The sequence below is a fragment of the Homo sapiens genome, chromosome X (genome assembly GCF_000001405.40).
Source record: "Homo sapiens chromosome X, GRCh38.p14 Primary Assembly".
Taxonomy (NCBI): domain Eukaryota; kingdom Metazoa; phylum Chordata; class Mammalia; order Primates; family Hominidae; genus Homo; species Homo sapiens.
In genome coordinates, this window is record NC_000023.11 from 80,691,607 (window position 1) to 80,712,979 (window position 21,373).

The 21,373-nt window shown below is 37.4% G+C and overlaps 1 protein-coding gene and 1 pseudogene across 5 annotated transcripts in view; one reads left to right on the plus strand and one right to left on the minus strand.

The window, feature by feature from the left end:
- BRWD3 (bromodomain and WD repeat domain containing 3) overlaps positions 1 to 21,373 on the minus strand; it is a 140,375-nt gene that overhangs the window by 22,104 nt on the left and 96,898 nt on the right. For 3 of the 5 annotated variants that reach the window (NM_153252.5, XM_017029384.2, XM_047441957.1), the window contains 10 exons: positions 17,822 to 17,971; positions 15,821 to 15,897; positions 13,072 to 13,240; positions 11,874 to 11,987; positions 8,351 to 8,458; positions 5,133 to 5,257; positions 4,302 to 4,384; positions 1,334 to 1,445; positions 483 to 544; positions 217 to 372 (listed from right to left, as the gene is read on the minus strand). In NM_153252.5, the coding sequence (NP_694984.5) occupies positions 217 to 372; positions 483 to 544; positions 1,334 to 1,445; positions 4,302 to 4,384; positions 5,133 to 5,257; positions 8,351 to 8,458; positions 11,874 to 11,987; positions 13,072 to 13,240; positions 15,821 to 15,897; positions 17,822 to 17,971 (1,156 nt within the window). Of the gene's footprint in view, positions 1 to 216; positions 373 to 482; positions 545 to 1,333; positions 1,446 to 4,301; positions 4,385 to 5,132; positions 5,258 to 8,350; positions 8,459 to 11,873; positions 11,988 to 13,071; positions 13,241 to 15,820; positions 15,898 to 17,821; positions 17,972 to 21,373 lie in introns of those variants that run through there. The other 2 variants (NM_001441339.1, XM_017029385.3) reach the window with 2 other exon arrangements.
- Positions 18,232 to 19,373, plus strand: PSMA1P1 (PSMA1 pseudogene 1; annotated as a pseudogene).

A 21,373-nucleotide genomic window follows, 5' to 3' on the forward strand; every position in this document is an offset into this window, starting at 1 on the left:
CACTATTATCCCCCAGATTGCTAAACAAAAAATTATCAGTTATTACTTTGGCCAAGCATATAAAACTGCTAATATTAAAACTAGAATCACTGTGCTTCTTGAGTTAAAACTGAAGTGTACAGTGAGAAACTGCATATCCTTCTGTAGAACTTAAAACTTCTGCTGATTTTCCTAGCTCTCTTGCATGCTCCTAAAATTTTTTCACATTCATCATACCCAGGGAAAGAAGGTGGTTGATGCCCTGAATAACCCGTTCACATTCTTCGTCTCTGGAATGAGCCCCCCACTCTCCTTCCTGGGGTTTGTATAGCAAAGCAGTCAATTCTTCCTGGGAGACAGGAACACCAGCACCAACTTCATCTGGAAAGGCAGCTAGGTATAAGATAAAAAAAAAAAAATTAGAAAAAATTATTTTCCAATATCATGTGATTACCATTTTACTTTTAAAAGAATTATAATTCATTTTTTAAAAGCATATTTACTTCCTTCTGGAATTGGCTCCATATCCCATGGGCTCATCTTTTCTCTCTCATTATTGTCCCAGCTATTAAAAAATAAGAAGATGCAAATCAAATTAATCATATAGTACTTCCTTTCATATACTACCACAATTTTACATGACTTCTTGGGGGTGAAATTTGAAAAAGGGCAATACAGTTGTCTTGAAAGTACAACTCCGGTTACATACAGATAACAATAAACTTCTAATAGAGAAAACATGGTCCATCGCTATGAAACTTAGAGGGCAGAAAGCCTACTTTTTGTCAATATGGAGACTAAAAGTCAGTCCTCAGAGAATAAACATTTCGTCTATCATTCTTGAGAGGATTCATTCATTAGCAATCTTACAACTCTGGATTTTCAAGAATAATTAAAGTAGATGTTGAAAACAAATAGTACTTCCAAACATGATGCAACCACCTCTGCCTAGAATTCATACGACTAAACAAAAGACTAAGTACTAATATTCATAGCTATATTCCAGCAATAACAATTACTTTAAGTAGTAAATTAGTTTCCATATTTCCCATTAAAAAATAGTTGCAATTCTTGTCTAAAGTAGAAATAGTTAATAGAAAATGCAAACAACAAAAGAGGTAGCAATAAAGTGTTTAGTTATTCCTTTGTTTTAGTCAAAGAAAACAAAGAACTTTGCTTTGACTAAAACAAGGGAAGAACTGAGCATTTTACCATCAAATTTCTTCTTTACAGGTACAGGTATTGTGAGACTAGATAAGTCAGATAAAAGGGCATTACTCCTGATGGAGGCTATTAAAAGTCCACATACTACTACAATGTCATATTAGGCATAAAAGATCATAAACATACTTACTGAACACTGTAACACTGGAAAGAACTATCAGGATACTCTGGTTGAAAAGGCTGCTGACTCTCCACAGTCCCAAACCACCAGGCGTCATCTATTATACTGCGGAATCTATCACCTATAATGTTTTAAAATTCTTAAAAGGATGCTCTTGAGAATATTAGCTCTGTTCCCACTCTAAATTACTACTTTTTGTTGACAACAGAAGTACTGTATCTAGCATTATAAGAAGCTTCCATCTAGGTTTTCGGGATAAGTGATTATTTTACATTTTAACCTCTTTATGTATTTTGATTTCCAAGTGGTAGAAATCTTTCTGAAATAAATTACATATGACCACATCTTAAATAAATACTACCAAGCATAATTTAACTTTTTTCAATTAATTAGCATCATCATTAGGCACACTTCTTATTGTATTACATATGTACATAAATGCAGTTGATTCTTCTATCTTGCTTTTAGCTTTCTTTAAAAATCTCTTCATACTAGTATTTATATTACAGATCTTCAAGGCAGGCTGTAAATCAAGGAAGATGTAGGAAAGTCTGGAACTTCCTAGAGACTTGTTTAATGGTTTTGACCAAAATGCTAATAGCCATATGAACAATGAAGTCTAGGCTGAGGTGGTCTCAGATAGAGATCAGGAACTTATTGGGAACTAGAGTAAAGGTCACTCATGCTATGCTATAATAAAGACACTGGCAGCATTTTGCCCATGCCCTAAGATCTGTGGAAACTTGAACTTGAGAGAGATGATTTAGGGTATCTGGCAGAAGACATTTCTAAGCAGCAAAGGATTCAAGGGGTGACTTGGCTGCTGTTAAGAGCATTCAGTTTTATGTATTCACAAAGATGTGGTCTGGAAATGGAACTTATCTTTAAAAGTGAAGCAGAGCATTAAAGTTCAGAACTTTTGCAGCCTGATAACTGATAGGATAAAAAAGAAAAACCCATTTTCTGAGGAGAAATTCAAGCCAGCTGCAGAAATTTGCATAAGTAACTAGGAGCCAAATGTTAGTCACCAAGAAAATGGGGGAAAATGTCTTCCAGGGCATGTCAGAGCTCTTCAAGGCAGCCCCTCCCATCACAAGACCCAGGGCCTAGAAGGAAAAAATGGTTTCTTGGGGCTGCCTCCCTGCTCTGCGCACACTTGGAACTTGGTGTTCTGTTTGCCAGCTGCTCCAGCTCCAGCCATGACTAAAAGGGGCCAAGGTACTGCTCAGGCTGTTGTTTCAAAGGGTGTAAGCCCCAAACCTTGATGGCTTCCATGTGGTGTTGGGCCTACAGATGCATAGAAGTCAAGAATTGAGGTTTGGGAACCTCTACCTAGATTGCAGAGGATGTATGGAAATGCCTGGATATCCAGGCAAAAGTCTGCTGCCGGGGCAGAGCCCTCATGGAGAATCTCTGCTAGGGCAGTGCAGAAGGGAAATTTGGGGTTGGAGCCCCCATACAGAGCCCCCACTGGGGTACTGCCTAGTAGAGTTGTGAGAAGAGAGTCACCGTCCTCCAGACCCCAGAATGGCAGATCCACCGACAACGTGCGCCGTGTGCCTGGAAAAGCTGCGGACACTCAACGCCAGCCTGTGAAAGCAGCTGGGAAAGGGGACATACCCTGCGAAGCCACAGGGATGGAGCTGCCCAAGAGCATGGGAACTCACCTCTTGCATCAGCGTGACCTGGATATGAGACATGGAGTCAAAGGAGATCATTTGGGAGCTTTAAAATTTGACTGCCCCGCTGGATTTTAGACTTGCATGGAGCCTTCAGTCCCTTTGTTTTGGCCAATTTCTCCCATTTGGAATGGGAGTATTTATCCAATACCTGTACCCCCACTGTATCTAGCAAGTAACGAATCTGCTTGTGATTTTACAGGTTCATAGGCAGAAGTGACTTGCCTTGTCTCAGATGATACTTTGGACATGGACTTTTGAGTTAATGCTGGAATGAGTTAAGACTTTGGGGGACTGTTGATTGGTTTTGAAATGAGAACATGAGATTTGGGAGGTGCCAGGGGCTGAATGATATGGCTAGGCTCTGTGTCCCCACCATAATCTCATCTTGAAGTCTAATCCCTTCACATCCAGGGAGGGACCTGGTGGGAGCTGATTGGATTATGGGGGCAGTTTCCCACATGTTGTTCTTGTGATGGTGAGTTTTCACAAGATCTGATGGTTTAAAGGTGTGGCACTTCCACTTCTAACTCTCTGTCTCCTGCAGCCATATGAAGAAGGTCTTGCTTCCCTTTTGCCTTCTGCCATGATTGTAAATGTCCTAAGGCCTCCCGAGCCATGTGGAAATGTGAAATCAATTAAATGATTTTTTCTTTATAAATTACCCAGTCTCAGGTAGTATCTTTACAGCAGTGTGAAAATGAACTAATACATATGGCTACAATTAGATTTTTAAAATTCAGGCCTAAGTAATTAAGTGTGCAAAAAAGTTGATAGTTTAAAAATCCTTATGTTCTGTATTGTATTGTTATACAATAGAGCTATAAGCAAATTTATTTAAATTATAAAATATTTTCCTTTACATTATTGCTATACTGCTTTTTATAATCAAAAAAGTAAAGAAAGAAGGGTAAAAGAGCAAAAGAGGGTGGGAAGGTGACAGGGAGGGAAACAAGGATGGAGGAAGGAAAAAAGGAAACAAATCACAATCAGTAATCATGTGTTTTAGAACCTAAGTGTAAAGTGCTCTATTTTAGGGCAACAGACATTTGAGAATTTTCTTTATATTCCTGTTTGTATACTAATAGAGTAGGTATTTGCAGAAGGTTTAGAGATTATAAGCCACACACAATGTGCATAAGAAATAACTAAAAGGAAATTTTAACTTAAGTTTTCTAGTTTCTCTGGTAGCTTTTTTCAGCTAAATGATAAGCTACTTTCTTTCTGTTAAATCACAGTTAAAAAGTTACTTACTGTACATAAGCTTAATAGTTATTAAACAACAATTCTATATTTACCAATCTGCCAGTTCCTTTCTTTGGCTTCATTATAAAACTGATGTAGCACAAGGAAGTCAATGACATCCGGCATGTCATGATACCTATACAGAAAATAAAGCACATATGAATCAATATAGAGATATAACAATATATGTTACTAAATGTCCAAGGATATATGTTTATTGTAGACCCATTGAGAAAAGTTTGCAAACCTCACAGTCCCTAGAAATGCCTTTACTTAAACATCACCTTCTCTGACCTGTTTGGGAGTGCCCTGCCTACTGCCATATTACTTTAAAAATATAAAGATGCCAATACAGGTTTATAAACCTTAATATGAGGTATTTTATATTAAGGAGTATGAATTAATGTTCTTTAATCTCCTTACGTTTTAAACTCAACTTCACATAAAGAGCCTCTGACTTATTATTCCTATTATTATTAACAGAAATAAAAGCAACCACCATGTTTCAAACATTCAATTAGGGAATTATAAAGGTTTGTCTTTGATTCCTCACAACAATCTTTAGGAAGAGATTAGCATTTCCATTTTACAAATGAAGACATAAATTCAGAGAGGTTAAGTAACTTGCTTATGAACCTATCTATGTAACTATCCATAACATAAATACACACACACACACACACACACACACACACACACACACACACACAAATATAAATAAAACGGAGAAATAAACTAGGAATTAAACTCTGGTCTTTATAATTCTAAACCCTGTAGTAAAGAATGCTATAGTGTTTTCTCTCCCATTGAGCACTGTACTCTAAAATATACAATAGGTATTAAAATACACACACTCAAACAGAGACTCAGAGATAACTACTCACTTAATGGAAAAAGATTCTCCAGTCATTTTGCCTGAAATTGGGTCCAGAAATGCAAGCTTCAAGCAGCACAGTGTGGGTGGGCCAACCTCATATTTGATTCCTACAATCTTAACAAACTCTTGCTCCTATTCATGAGAATACCAATAAATTATTACTTTCAATATAATTACTTAACATTTGTATAATATTTCATTATTACTTGAACAATTTATTATCTGAAAATTCTCTAAATGCCAGGCACTACACTAAGTGTTAAAGGTAATAAGATATGGCTCTTAACTCCTAATAGCAGGTTGTAGTTTAGTGCAAGGCTCTAAACCAAGGATGAGCAGCCACATCACCTGGGGAAATGCTTCAAATTTAATGATCCGAAATCCTACACCTATAGAATCAAATTCTGTTTGGGGTATAGCTCGGTAATATATCTATTTTGGAAAAACTCCCTAGTGCAGTATGATGCTCTGGTTAAAAATCACTCCCCTAGCAAAAATACAGTATGTAAGCATCCAGGTATATATGTACGTGTACATGTTTGGGGTGAAGACTTATATATTTTAATGTCTACAACATTATCTTTTTTGTTGTTTTTGTTTTACTTCAGATTCATGGGGTACACGTGCAGGTTTGTTACAGAGATATATTGCATAATGGTGGGGTTTGAGTTTCTAGTGTACCCATCCTCCAAATAGTAACCACTGTAACAAATAGCTAAGTTTTTAACCCCTATCCCCCTCCTAATCTCCCTTCCTTTGGAGTCCCCAATGTCTATCATTTCCATCTACATGTCCAGTTGTACCAACTGTTTAGTACCCATTTGTAAGAGAGGGCGTGTGGTATTTGACTTTCTGTTTTTCAGCTGTTTTACTTACGATAATGGCCTCCAGCTCCATCTATGCTGTTGTAAAGGCCATGACCTCAATTTTTATAGGTACACAGTATTCCATGATGTCTATGTACATTTTCTTTATCCAGTCCACCACTGACGGGCATCTAGATTGATTCCATGTCTTTGCTATTGTGAATAGTGATGTGACGAACATGCATGTGCATGTGTCTTCATGGTAGAACAATTTATATTCCTTTGGGTATATACCCAGTAATGGAATTTGGGTAGTTCTACTTTAAGTCTCCTGAGAAATCTCCAGATTGCTTTCCGCAGTGGCTGAACTAATTCACATTCCCACCAGTAGTATATAAGCATTCTCCTTTCTCCACAACCTCACAAGCATCTGTTTGTTTGTTTTGAATTTTTAATAATACCCATTCTGACTGGTGTGAGATGGTATCTTGTGGCTTTGATTTGCATTTCCCTAATGATTAGTGATGTTTTAGCATTTTTTCATATGTTTGTTGGTCGCTTATACATTTTCTTTTAAGAAGTGTCTGTTCATGTCCTTTGCCATTTTTAAATGAGATTGTTTGTTTTTTTGCTTGTTGATTGAAGTTCCTTATAGATTCTGGATATGATCTTACAATAATCATACACATTTACTGATTATTAATCACATTTAACAGATGGCAAAACTGATCTTCATAGGTATAGGGTCCTGCTTAAAGTTATATATTAGCATATAGCAAAGCTAGAATTGAAATCCAGGTCTTATTCCAAAGCCCAAGCTCTTTTACCACATATAAGCTGCTCCTACAATTTCCTAGGACAACAAGGTTAGGATAAAAAGTAAGAACTTGGCCGGGTGAGGTAGCTCATTCCTGTAATCCCAGCACTTTTGGAGGCCAAGTCGGGTGGATCACCTGAGGTCAGGAGTTCGAGACCAGCCTGGCCAACATGGTGAAACCCCATCTCTACTAAAAAGGCAAAAATTAGCCAGGCGTGGTGGTGGGTGCATGTAATCCCAGTTACTCGAGAGGCTGAGGCAGGAGAATTTCTTGAACCTGGGAGGCGGAGGTTGCAGTGAGCCGAGATCGCTCTACTGCACTCCAGCCTGGGTGACAGAGCGAGACTCTGTCTTAAAAAAAAAAAAAGAGTAAGAAATCACATGTTTTATTGAATCCTCTGATTCTAAAAAAGATTCAACTTTTACTTGATGACGAATAGATGGGAGCTGTCCCTATCTTCCAGAAGATAATTATGTAAAGCTCACTTGATAAGCTACTTTAGCACCTGATGACATTAATAAAAAGTTTTACAAACATCTAAATCAAATCTTTATCTTAATAAATATACATATTCTCAGCTGGGCACGGTGGCTCATGCCTGTATCCCAGCACTTTGGGAGGCCGAGGTGGGTGGATCACCCTGAGGTCAGGACTTCGAGACTAGCCTGGTCAATGTGGCAAAATCCTGTCTCCAATAAAAATACGAAAAATTAGCTAGGCATGGTGGCGTGTACCTGCGATCCCAGCTACTCAGGAGGCTGAGGCAGAAGAATCACTTGAACCCAGGAGGCAGAGGTTGCAGTGAGCCGAGATAGGGCCACTGCACTCCAGCCTGGGCAACAGAGCGAGACTCCGTTGCAAAATAAATAAAAAATAAATAAATAAATATACATATTCTCTCTTATATCCTTCCTGTCAAGAATCATCACACAACTCTTCATTTACCTGGAAAACTATCATAAAATGGCCCTTTAGTCTCTTATTCAGAAAACCAAAATGAAACACACATAAACCTAGGTAGAAATGGTGGTGTATGTATACCTATGTCTGTCTGTATGTGCATGTGTGCATATATATATACACATATATAGGTACAAATGAATGAAATATTTATTGACAAAATCATTCTCCATAAAATATGGAGCCACATGGGTATTATATATGTAGCTACAAGGGTAATATATCAAAACAGCTATTTTACAAAACACCAAAAGTTTCTGGGCTTCTTGTGATTTATCATATTTAAAATATACCAAAGCTGTCAGAACCTTGAGAGTGTTTATAGTCTACACACTCAGCTTATGGAGGCTCCAGAAGGTAAAAAGTTGCTGATTACGGAAAATATCCACAAAGGGGAACTCCTGCTTTGCTCTAATTATGGACTAGTATAGACTAGACAATAGAAAATAGCATACAAATTTTGAGAAACGTATAAAATGTGATCCATAATATTCAGTTCTACAAGAGTATAGATCATCATCTTATCTTGGATACACAATCAACAGTGAAATATGCATAAAACTGAGGGGAAAAAACCATGGGTAAGCAATTTAATTCCAAAGCTACTTCCATTGCATAGCTTATGAATTTGGCAAACTTACCCTGAGATCCATTTTGTTCCATGGCTGTTTTTGTAAATTAACACTGTATATTTTCGATTTCCTTACAGCCCGAACATAAGCTTCATGTCCTTGCCTAAAATAGATAAGCTAAAACAGAAAACATAAGGTATTAAACAGCAGCATCCTATATAACTCTGTATGTCCAATATACATTCCTACAAACATCCTCTTCTGTTTGCAGAAAGAAATAATTATAATATTGAAAGACTTTATACAATAAAGGTTTCAAATGATGTTAATTCAGTATTCATGCCTACGTAGCCCTGTGCTCAGTACCACATCATATAAACACAGTAAACACAGTCCTTTCCCTTCAATCAGCTTCATAAGTGTGCTGAAGAAGCAGATTCATGGAAAATGTACACAAAACTGGTCATATTTTAAAGTATATGTGCCCCTCCATATCCACAGCTTCTGCATCAACAAATCCAATCAACTGCAGATTGAAAATATTTGATATATATAACAATACAATTAGGCCGGGCATGGTGGCTCACGCCTTTAATCCCAGCACTTTGGGAGGTTGAGGCAGGTGGATCACCTGAGGTCAGGAGTTTGAGACCAGCCTGACCAATGTGGCAAAACCCCATCTCTAATAAAAATACAAAAATTAGCTGGGCATGGTGACACATGCCTGTAATCCCAGCTACTAGGGAGGCTGACGCAGGAGAATCACTTGAACCCGGGAAGCGGAGGTTGCAGTGAGCCGAGATCGCAACATTGCACTCCAGCCTGGGCAATAAGAGCAAAACTCCCTGTCAAAAAATAAATAAATAAATAAATAAATAAATGATAATACAGATAAAAAACCAATATCATATAACAACAATTAATATAGCATTTACATTGTATTAGGTATCATAAGTAATATAGAGATAATTTAAAGTATATAGGAGGATGTACATAGGTTATATGCAAATACTATGCCTTTTATATAATGTCCTTGTAGATTCTGTTATTTGCAAGGGGTCCTAGAGCCAATTCTGTGTGGATACCGAAGGACAACTGTACTATACTTCAAATTATAACTGACACTCTAACTATCAAAATTCTAATATTCAGTCTACACATTCCATATAAACAGTATAAATCACAGGTTACTAAATGGAGTAATTTCAAGACAAATTAAAAGTTGCCTGTTACAAGAGTTCATGTCAGAACTGGCATATTATGGAAGGAAAATGAATTCAATTACTTAATTCTTCAGCTCTTTAAGTCACCATTTACTATCATTTTCTATATTTATTACAAAAAGTTTCTTTTCCTCAAGTTTAAAAGCAGTGATAGAGGCTAGGCACAGTGGCTCACACCTGTAATCCTAGTACTTTGGGAGGCCGAGATTGGTGGATCACCTGAGGTCAGGAGTTCGAGACCAGCCTGGCCAACATGGTGAAACCCCGTCTCTACTAAAAATACAAAAATTCACCGGGCGTGGTGGTGCACGCCTGTAATCCCAGCTACTCCAGAGACTGAGGCAGGAGGATCGCTTTGAACCCAGGAGGTAGAGGTTGCAGTGAGCCGAGATAGCCCCACTGCACTCTAGCCTGGGCAACAGAGCGAGACTCGTCAAAAAAAAAAAAAAAAAAAAAAAAAAAGTAGTGATAGAGATAAGTAAATAGAAGAAAGTAACAAAAAATACCATATTATGAGATTTCTAAAATACATTAACATACTCTACCAATCAATACTAGGTCAGAATTTCTAATAGCTAAAAATTTGAGCAGAAAATAAAAAAGGTTTAAAATTAGTAAATAAAATAATTGTAAGGGTTAAAAACCAATAATACACGTCATTAAGATATCCTTTATTATATATTCATTCCTGAATTCCACAAATACTGATCATTGAACATCTATGTGTAGGCACTAGATGCTGTGATAAGGCATAAAACCATTTCCTCTAGGATATGGAAACTCATGTAGATATATAACTATAATGCAAGGTAGAATATATTATATATCAGAAGAGAAAAATAATTTAGGTAGAAAAGCCATGAGCACAGAGGGACTGGCCAATGAAAAACAAGGATAACATCCTGGAAAAGTTAGTATTTGAATTAGACCTTGAAAATGATAATTTTAAGAAGCAATGATCTGTATGTAGGGATATCTAGGCAAGACAATGAAGGCTTAATATTAAGATGAAGTAAAAAGTAATGTTGCCATTAAGAAATCAATTATATAAAAAGTGTATGTTTGCCTTTATAATTTCTTTAAAAACATTCTCTACATATTCATTGTCTGGTTTACATACATCTTCCTCATTACCTGAAGAACTGTCTTCACCTCATACACATTAGTCTTGAAGCATATAAGGATGTAGTAAGTTTAACAACATAGAGGAAGAGGAATTCCACCAAAGAATGGAGAAAAATAGTCCTTAGACAGGAGTCTCATTAGGTCTTAGAGTGTACAGATCCTTATATTGTTCTATAAAGTTTTCTAACATAATTAAACATTACTCCTCTTCTGCCTCCAGAAAATAAAAACAGGCAACAACTACAAGAAATAGTGATTTGATATATGCCAATAAAATTTTACAAGTTCTCTGTTTTTAAGTATAGCATTCATCAGAAAATATTTATTAACATAACTATGCAAACAAGCATTACTCAGAAGTCCAATACCTATATGAAAATATCAAAAGAAACATCTTAAAATATCTAAAGATAATCAGCAGGTAATAATTTATTTGTAAGGCTATTTGATAGCTACTCTGATATAAGATCTCTATAACAGGCAATTACAGAAAAGTTTGGTAAAACTTTTATTGTTCCCAAAATGTTTAGAGCCTACTTGCAAGGTTTTGTTCCTTCTGCTGTTGCAATGACAATATTACATTTCTACTAACACTCTTAAATTAAAAACTGTGTAAAAACATTTAATTGATTAAAAAAATTAGTATATCAGACAATATCCAAGCCAAAAAGAGTTCTAATGTTCCAATGTTACGATAATTTTCATAATAAACTGAAAGTTTTTTACCAGGTAGAATTTTGATTAATTTTTGACTGGCCAATAATAAATATGGCTACACTCATCAATCACAGACTCAGAAAGAAAGACCTGTTTGCAAAACTACATTCCCCTGCTCATTTAAAGGAGTAAATACCTTCTTGTATACTTTCTATCAGGTTGAACGTGTTTTGTTTTTTTTTAATAAATATTGGAACATGAATGAGGACTCAAAATACCACTCAATTCTACTAAGTGGCAATTCAGATTAAAATAAAGCCAATTATTTTTATGACTTCACAAGCTGATTAATTTATCTCAATATTCAATGAGCATCTAATAGACTGAAGCTACTGTGCCAGGACCTACAAAGGATACAAAGATTAATACTGTTCAGTCCCCTTCCACAAGAAATATATAATTGAGCAGAGCAGATAAGACACTGTATATATTATTATAATGGAATTAGGAATATAAATATATTCAGACTGATTAAAGTTAGTGCTCTTGAGGCTCCACAGAAAAAGGTTATAACAGGTAATAATTACCTCATCTCCCATTTGTGGGACAAATGGGGAACGTCGGGGTATAGTATCCAAGATCCACTGAGGGGCAAACCATTCTTCATTAGGCTCACCTGCTATAGAAACCAGTCCTCCTTTCTAAAACATAAATACACGAAAAGTATATGTATAAAACACAGTTCTCCAATACATAAAACACATAAACAATAGTATGAAAAATAGTAGGTAGAGAAGATTAAAAATTTCAGGTTACAATGAAACCTAAAGTATATAAATTTGAATGATTTTGCTTTATTATATACAATTTTTCTGCCAATAAAAAATCACTTTACTAAATTTTAACTGACAAGTAATAACTTGACACTATAGACTACCTGAAAACCATAACTTTTACATACGTCCCTTGACTACCACGTGAATTCAAATGCAAGAATAAGTTTTTGCCAATAAAATAGTGATAATCAAGAAAATAATTGTCTACTAAAGCAAAAGACTATAGAATGTGTCTATAATCAATTTTGAAGTTAAAATTAAAATAACTACATACACCAAGTCTTTAAATCATTTAAATGAATCTATAGTGGGGAAAAGAAACTGTCATTGGGATGAAATAAAAACATAAAGGTAAGCCAGGCACAGTGGTACACACCAGTAGTCCCAGCCAACCAGGAGGCTGAGGTGGGAGTATTGCTTGAGCCTAGCAGTTCGAGTCTGCAGTGTGCTATGATCATGCCTGTGAATAGCCACTGCACTCCACTCTGGGCAACATAAGACCCCATCTCTTTAAAAAAAACACCAAAAAACATAGTGGAATGGAGGGAGAGTCCTATACAATTTATCATACTCTTCCATGTTACAAGTTAAAAATGTTAAAAATGAGGACTCAAAATACCACATGACAAGAATAATAATGTTGTCAGATAAAACTGACAAGAATAATAATTTTGCTAAGACAGTAGTTTATTTTAGGACATTGCTACGTTTTAACAAATGATTGTGAATATGTTTGAATAACAAATTATAATGAAACATTCTAGCCTCTACCTTTGATAACAGAAAAATTTCAAAAATTCTTTACATTTTGAAGTCAAACTACTTTTACTTACTTTCTCAGATGAAATGTTATTTTTAGAGAAAAGTCAATGTTACAATTAAATATTTAAGTTATCAAAGGCAAAAAACAAAAAATAACAAAAACAAAATAACTTATAAAGTTACAAACCTTCTTTCTAGTCTGCTTAGGTTTCTTCTGCCTTTCTTCTAGGGACTTCAAATTTTCCTCATCAGAGCTGCTGCATATTTTACGTGTTGTCTGTCTGGTTTGTCTTTTTGGGGGTTGTAAATTTATTCCAGCATCTGCTGTCCAATCAGAATATTCACTTGATGAGTCACTGTAAATAAATCAAAATTATGGATACCTAAGTATAGAAAAGGAGTAGTTTTACTTAATAATTGAAAGATCATTCTGTAAGCAAACAGCATTATAAATGACATGGCTGGATTTTTTTCTAACTTAAGAGAAAAAATATCATCCAGGCACGGTGGCTCACACCTGTAATCCCAGCACTCTGGGAGGCCAAGATGGGCAGATCACAAGATCAGGAATTCGAGACCAGCCTGGCCAACATGGCAAAACCCCGTCTCTACTAAAAATACAAAAATTAGCCGGGTGTGATGGCACACGCCTGTAGTCCCAGCTACTCAGGAAGCTGAGAGGGAAGAATCACTTGAATCCAAGAGGCAGAGGTTGCAGTGAGCCGAGAGTGTACCACTGTGCTCCAGCCTGGGTGACAGAGTGAGACTCCATCTCAAAAAAAAAAAAAAATCAATATAGAATTTCGACCATTATCTAAGTAATTTTAATGAAATGCTTCTTGGATGAAGTATACTTTATCCAAGGATTATAATTATAATGCTTAGTTTCCTGTAACAGGAATTAAAATCCCTGTCCAAAATCACAAATGCTTCTTTAAAATAAAAAAGCATCTTATTCTTGGAAATGCTGAAGTGGGATTGTTTTAAAACTGAAATAAATACATATACAGTCATATACAGTCATGAGTCAGTTAACAAAGGGGATACTTTCAGAGAAATGCATCATTAGGTGATTTTGTCATTGTGTGAATATCATACAGAGTATACTTACACAAACCTAGACAGTATAGCCTACTACACAGCTATTCTATATAGGTAGAACCTAATGCTCCAAGGCTACAAATTTGTACAGCATGTGACTGTACTGAATACTGTCAACAATTTTAACACAATGCTAAGTATATATCTACACAATGCTAAGTGTATATCTACACATAGAAAAGGTACAGTAAAAATATGACGTAAAAGATTTTTAAAAATGTATACATACACAGGGCACTTAACATGAATGGAGTTTATAGAACTGAAAGTTGCCGTGGGTGAGTCAGTGAGTGATGGTGAGTGAATGTGAAGACCTAGAACATTACCGTACACTACTGAAGACTTTACAAACACTACGCTTAGGTTACACTGAATTTATAAAAAATATTTTTCTTTCTTCAACAAGAAATTAATCAGCTTGCTGTAACATTTTTACTTTATACTTTTTAGTGTTTTTTAACTTTTTGACTTTTTTGTAATAACACTTAGCTTAAAACACAAACACATTGTACAGCCGTATTTTTTTTTTTCCTTGAGACAGAGTTTCACTCTTGTCGCACAGGCTGGAGTGCAATGGCGCAATCTCAGCTCACTGCAATCTCTGCCTTCTGGGTTCAAGAAATTCTCCTGTCTCAGCCTCCCAAGTAGCTGGGATTACAGGCCTCTGCCACCACATCCGGGTAATTTTTGTATTTTTAGTAGAGACAGGGTTTTACCATGTTGGCCAGGCTGGTCTCGAACTCCTGACCTCAGGTGATCCTTCCACCTCGGCCTCCAAAAGTGCTGAGATTACAGAAGTGAGCCACCACGTTCGGCAAATTTTTTCTTTATATCCTTACTCTATAAGGTTTTTTCTATTTTTAAGGTTTAAAATTTTTTTTTATTTTAAAATTTTGTTTAAAAACTAAGACACAAACATTAGCCTAAGCCTACAGAGGGTCAGGATCATCAATATCACCGTCTTCCATCTCCACATCTTTTCCTGTTCAACGGAAGGTATTCAGAGACAAAAACACATGGAGCTTTTATCTCCAATGATAATAATGCCTTCTTCTGGAATATCTCTTTGAGGACCTGACAGAGGCTATTTTACAGTTAATAATTTATTACAAGTAGGACAAGTACACTCTAAAATAACAATAAAAAGTATAGCATAAACTGAGCAAACTGGTGTGCACCTGTACACCCTGCTACGCAGGAGGCTGAGGTGGGACGACTGCTTGAGCCCAGGAGTTCAAGGCATGCCTGGGCAACATAGCAAGACACCATCTCTAAAAGAATAGAAAATGAAATGAAGAAACCGTAATAATATAAAAGTATAGCATAGTAAATAAACCAGTAACATAGTTGTTTATTAAGTACTATATACTGTACATAATTGTATATGCTAAACTTTTGTATGACTGACAGTTCAGCAAGTTAATTTACACCAGCATCCTCACAAACACATGAATAACACTTTGTGCTACAGTGTTACAATGGCTATGATGTCACTAGGTGACAGGAATTTTTCAGCTTCATTATTGGACCATAGTCATATGCACTCGATCATTGACTGAAACATCATTATGCAGAGGGTGAATATAATTGCCAAGATGTAGAATCTTGGATTTAAAAAGAATCTTATTTTATAGATGAAGAAACTAAAAGGCCCACAGTGACGTCAGAAAGGTATTGGGAGAGCCAGGATCACATCAGGTCTCTCGGCTTCCAGCCAATACCTTTTCTACTATAAAACACTATTTTAATTCTGGTTTTACCAATTTCCTACGAGAACATAATTTCGTATTAAAACTGTTCAATAATTTTGACCAAATTAAAACCATTAAAACTACCTGGAAGAACTTTCACTTTGCCATTCAACAACAGGATCCTCTACCGAAGCGTCACTTGTGCCAACAGTTTCATCTTCCTACAACAAAGAGCCAGCAATTAAGATATATGGATATTACCAGCTAATGTATTTCTAATTAAAAAACCACTACCTGTTTTATAGCATTTTTTTGAATTCTGCCCTCAAAAAATGTTCTTCTTAAAACGCACATAATTATTGTTCTAAGTATATCTGTAACTCACAACTAAGTCTACTAGGTATTTCTAAATTTCTAGCATCATTATCTTATTGATATAAAACATCTTTTTGTGATTTCAAAGACTCAATAGATTTCTTGAGTCCAAATATAACCCTCTTAAATACATTAGAAACATTGTTTTCAAAATGCCTATATGTCTCTGTCGAGTTAATATAATTACTCTCCATTAAAAATTTTAATTATCTTTTTTATGTAAAATTTTAAATACAGTAGAGAATAGATAACCCGTGTACACAATCTCCAGTTTAGGTAATAACTCACTTCCTATTTTATCTATACCCTCACCCACTGCCTTATACTCTAGCATTAGTTTGATGCACAATATGACCAAAAAAACCATTTTAACCATAAATATTTACTAAGATTAGGATTTGTTTTAAAAGTACAACCGCAATGCTGTTATCACATTACATTTAAAAGGGAGCATCAGGTCAGGTGCAGTGGCTCAACCCTGTAATCCCAGCACTTTGGAAGGCCAAGGCAGGCAGATCACCTGAGGTCAGGAGTTCGAGACCAGCCTGACCAATATGGTGAAACCCTGTCTCTACTAAAAACACAAAAATTAGCAGGGCATGGTGGCATGCACCTGTAGTCCTAGCTACTTGGGAGGATGAGACAGGAGAATTGCTTGAACTTGGGAGGTGGAGGCTGTAGACAGCTGAGATTGAGCCACTGTACTCCAGCCTGGACAACAGAACAAGACTCTTGTCTTTTTTTTTTTTTTTTAAAGGGTGGGGGAAGCATCAGTTCCTGAATAGTGATAATTCTTTTAAGATCAAGATTTCATATGGGTGGGGGTGGGGCATGAATGTAGGACATCTTTGATAATAGTTTAAGAACTGTGAATGGGGCCAGGTGCAGTGGCTCACGCCTGTAATCCTAGCACTTTGGGAGGCCAAGGTGGGCAGATCACCTGAGGTCAAGAGTTCAAGATCAGCCTGGCCAACAGGGTGAAACCCTGGCTCTACTAAAAATACAAAAATTAGCCATGCATGGTGGCGCATGCCTGTAATCCCAGCTCCTGGGGAGGCCAAGGCAGGAGAATCTCTTGAACCCAGGAGGCAGAGGTTGCAGTGAGCCAAGTACGTGTCACTGCACTCCAGCCTGGGGACAGAGTGAGACTCCATCTCAAAAAAAAAAAAAAAGAATTGGGAATGGCACAAGAATGAGAGTACCATATATTGTCAATGCATGATTAAACCTTCATTATGCATTTAACAATGAAAGCTGTTAAGAGAACAAAAAGACTGGAGAACAGAAGAACAAGATGAAAAGAAGCTATGCTCTTTATTCATTACCATGAAAAAGGTAGGTCTGAGAAAAATCAACATTCAATGATCTCTATGAGGGGTGAAGTCAATAATAACAAAACATGTGTACATTATGTTGATTAGATAGCCAACCAGTTCTGAAACTGTGTAACTTATTAATGCTCTTTATATTTCGCTCCTTTCCATTTATAGGCTGATTTCCTCTTACTCTTTTTTTCACTGTCTCAACGTCAAACTCTTGCTGGCATATTTGATACCCTCACCAAGACAGCATCTGAGGTACAAATCCAAGACATCTAAATGAATTAAATATGCCCAAATATACCTACTAAATGTATTATTAATGAACAAATCTCTTATAAGAATATAATTAAAATAATTTTCTATTAAAGAAGTGACCCTTAAACCCAAATGGATGATACAAACTGGGAAACAAAAAACTACATCAAATAAATAATAGTATATATATAACCTCTGAAGAACTGTCTGAGTCTTCCTGTACACCTGAATTTTGACATGATGCCTGTGAATTATGCTCTATGTTGGACCGTGTTTGGTAAGTATGCTGACGTTTGCGCTGTGTCCTGCGTAAAGAACGCCCACAGCTAGGCTCATAATCATTCTGTAAAAGAGAAGAATAATAAATTTTAAAAAAGGAAAAGCTCAGTAAACACACAAGGAACATATATAAAGCAAATTAGGTGGGGGGTAGGGGTGAGTAGGAGATGAGAATAAATTCCCCAAAATAAAGTCAACATAGAACTATATTTATACATATTTAATCCACTTTCCACTAATATTGATCACTCTCCTATTTTGTAAACCTTGTGATCAAATTAAAGACAGTGCTGAAAAGTCTGGGTTGCAAAGTCCCACAGACTTCTCTGTACAACGCAGAGTAATAGTTTAGGCAGCAACTTCTTGATCCTCAGTTTTGCCAGAGGCTGCAACCAGACCTGTGCTGGAACCACATTTAGAAACCAGTATGACAATGATATCATTGTCTGGAGCAGGATTCATCAAACTGAATATGCAATGGAAGCTGTTAAACAAGGTTCAGCCACAGTTGGTCTGAAATCAAAAACCCATGCAGTATTGGTTGCATTGAAAAGGGCACCATCGGAGCTTGCAGCTCATCAGAAAAAAATTCTCCATATTGACAAACATATTGGTATCTCAATTGCAGGGCTTACTGATGATGGTAAACTGTTACGTAATTTTATGTGCCAGGAGTGTTTCGATTCCAGATTTGTATCTGATAGACCACTTCCTGTGTCTTCTCTTGTATCTCTAATTGGAAGCAAGACCCAAATATCAACACAACAATATGGCTGGAGACCATATGGTGTTAGGCTACTTACTGCTGGTTATAATGATATGGGCCTCACATTTTCCAAACCTGGTCATCTGCTGACTATTTTGACTACAGAGCTACGTCCACTGGGGCCCATTCTCAGTCAGCTCGTACTTACTTGGAGAGACATATGTCTAAATTTATGGAATACAATTTAAATGAACTGGTTAAACATGGTCTGCATGCCTGAAGAGAGACAATTCCTGCAGAACAGGACATAACTACAAAAATGTTTCCATTGGAATTGCTGGTAATAATTTGGAGTTTACAATCTATCATGATGATGATGATGTGTCTCCAATCCTGGAAGGTCTTGAAGAAAGGCCACAGAGAAAGGCAAAGCCTGCTCAACCTGCTGATTAACCAGCAGAAAAGGCTGATGAACCAATGGAACATTAAGTGATAAGCCAGCCTATGTATGTATTATCAAATATGTAATAATGCTGGAAGACATACTGATGATACTAATCATCAGTAGAATGGTGGTGGAATGGTATGTTTTAGGAATCAGTCCAGATGTGAGTTTTTTCTAAGCAACCTCACTAAAACCATATAATGGGGTACATTTTTCTTTGAGATGTCTATATAATCACTTTCTAGAAAGTACAGGTATCTGTACTAATGTTTTTATATGAAAAAAGTAAGTGTCTTTGTGATTTTAAAGCCAACTGTAAAATAAAATTGTTTCACCTCCTGAAAAAAAAAAGAAATGTCTGGGTTGCAAGAATTTGCCCATTCATAATTTACGTATGCCACATTATTCAGAATTATTATAGGATGAAGCAAGACATTTCAGTCATATGTGTATATATAATGTGTGTTTATTTAGTTCTGCTCAAAAATCTAGAAAACTTTTTTAAAGTGCTAAGATATATAAGTGGATTTAATAATCTATACTTTTGTTCATTCTAGATTAACATTGAGGGCTAAACTCTGATCTTTTATTTCTCTTGCCCAAATTTCTATCTAAGAGGCCTTCTGCAGAGGTGGGCATGGGAGGGGAGGTTCCATGCCTCACAAACGACAAAGTCTCATCAGAGGGGTTTTACTTAACCCTATATAACGTGTTTTAACTTTCCAATATGACTCTGGCATAACATCATACAACAGAGAAAGAAGGAAATCAAAATATTTTAACCGCAAATATGTTTCTGTCATATCTTGAAATAGCCCTGTAAAGCTGTCTTAAAATCAACATTCTGTAGAGAATCCCTTTCTCTTTCCAGGCCTTTTTCCTGATCCAGGAGAGAATCAACCAAAAGTCTGGCACTTTTATTTAAGTCTGAAAAGAAACATTTGCAACCTACTCTCTGTGAAAAAAGCTACCTAGAGGCTTCTTCTGCGTAATGAGAATCTCGGTCTCTAAAATTCCTTATCTAAACCCAGACATTTCCTTCCATTGATTCTAGGTCTTTAGACAATAACTCTTTCAACTAATTGCTAATTAGAAAATTTTTGAATCCACCTATGACCTGGAACCTCCTCCGTCACACCCCCATGAGTTGTCCTGCCTTTCTGTACTAAACCAATGTACTGTCTTACATGTACTGATTGATGTCTTGTCTCTCTAAATTGTATAAATCCAACCAGTAGCCTGGCCATCTTAGGCATATGTTCTCGGGACTACTTCTTGAGACTGTGCATCCAGTCACTGGTCACTCATGTATGGCTCAGAATAAATCTCTTCAAATATTTTATAGAGTTTGACTCTTTCATCAACAGCATTCTTAAGATTCTTAAGAGGTAAAAAGTATCTTTAGAATAAATTTAGTCCAATCTCCAACCCCCCACCTCTGAAATACAAAACTAGGTCCAGGAGAGAGTTGTTTAAAATAAAAATGAAATGCTCTCCCCTCTCCCCTCTCCCCACGGTATCCCTCTGATGCCGAGCCGAAGCTGGACTGTACTGCTGCCATCTCGGCTCACTGCAACCTCCCTGCCTGATTCTCCTGCCTCAGCCTGCCGAGTGCCTGTGATTGCAGGCACGCGCCGCCACACCTGACTGGTTTTCGTATTTTTTTGGTGGAGACGGGGTTTCGCTGTGTTGGCCGGGCTGGTCTCCAGCTCCTAATCGCGAGTGATCCGCAAGCCTCGGCCTCCCGAGGTGCCGGGATTGCAGACGGAGTCTCGTTCACTCAGTGCTCAATGGTGCCCAGGCTGGAGTGCAGTGGCGTGATCTCGGCTCGCTACAACCTCCACCTCCCAGCCGCCTGCCTTGGCCTCCCAAAGTGCCGAGATTGCAGCCTCTGCCCGGCCGCCACCCTGTCTGGGAAGTGAGGAGCGTCTCTGCCTGGCTGCCCATCGTCTGGGATGTGAGGAGCCCCTCTGCCTGGCTGCCCAGTCTGGAAAGTGAGGAGCGTCTCTGCCCAGCCGCCATCCCATCTAGGAAGTGAGGAGCGCCTCTTCCCGGCCGCCCATCGTCTGAGATGTGGGGAGCGCCTCTGCCCTGCCGCCCCGTCTGGGATGTGAGGAGCATCTCTGCCCGGCCGCGACCCCGTCTGGGAGGTGAGGAGCGTCTCTGCCCAGCCGCCCCGTCTGAGAAGTGAGGAGACCCTCCGCCTGGCAACTGCCCCGTCTGAGAAGTGAGGAGCCCCTCCGCCCGGCAGCCGCCCCGTCTGAGAAGTGAGGAGCTCCTCCGCCCGGCACCCACCCCGTCTGGGAAGTGAGGAG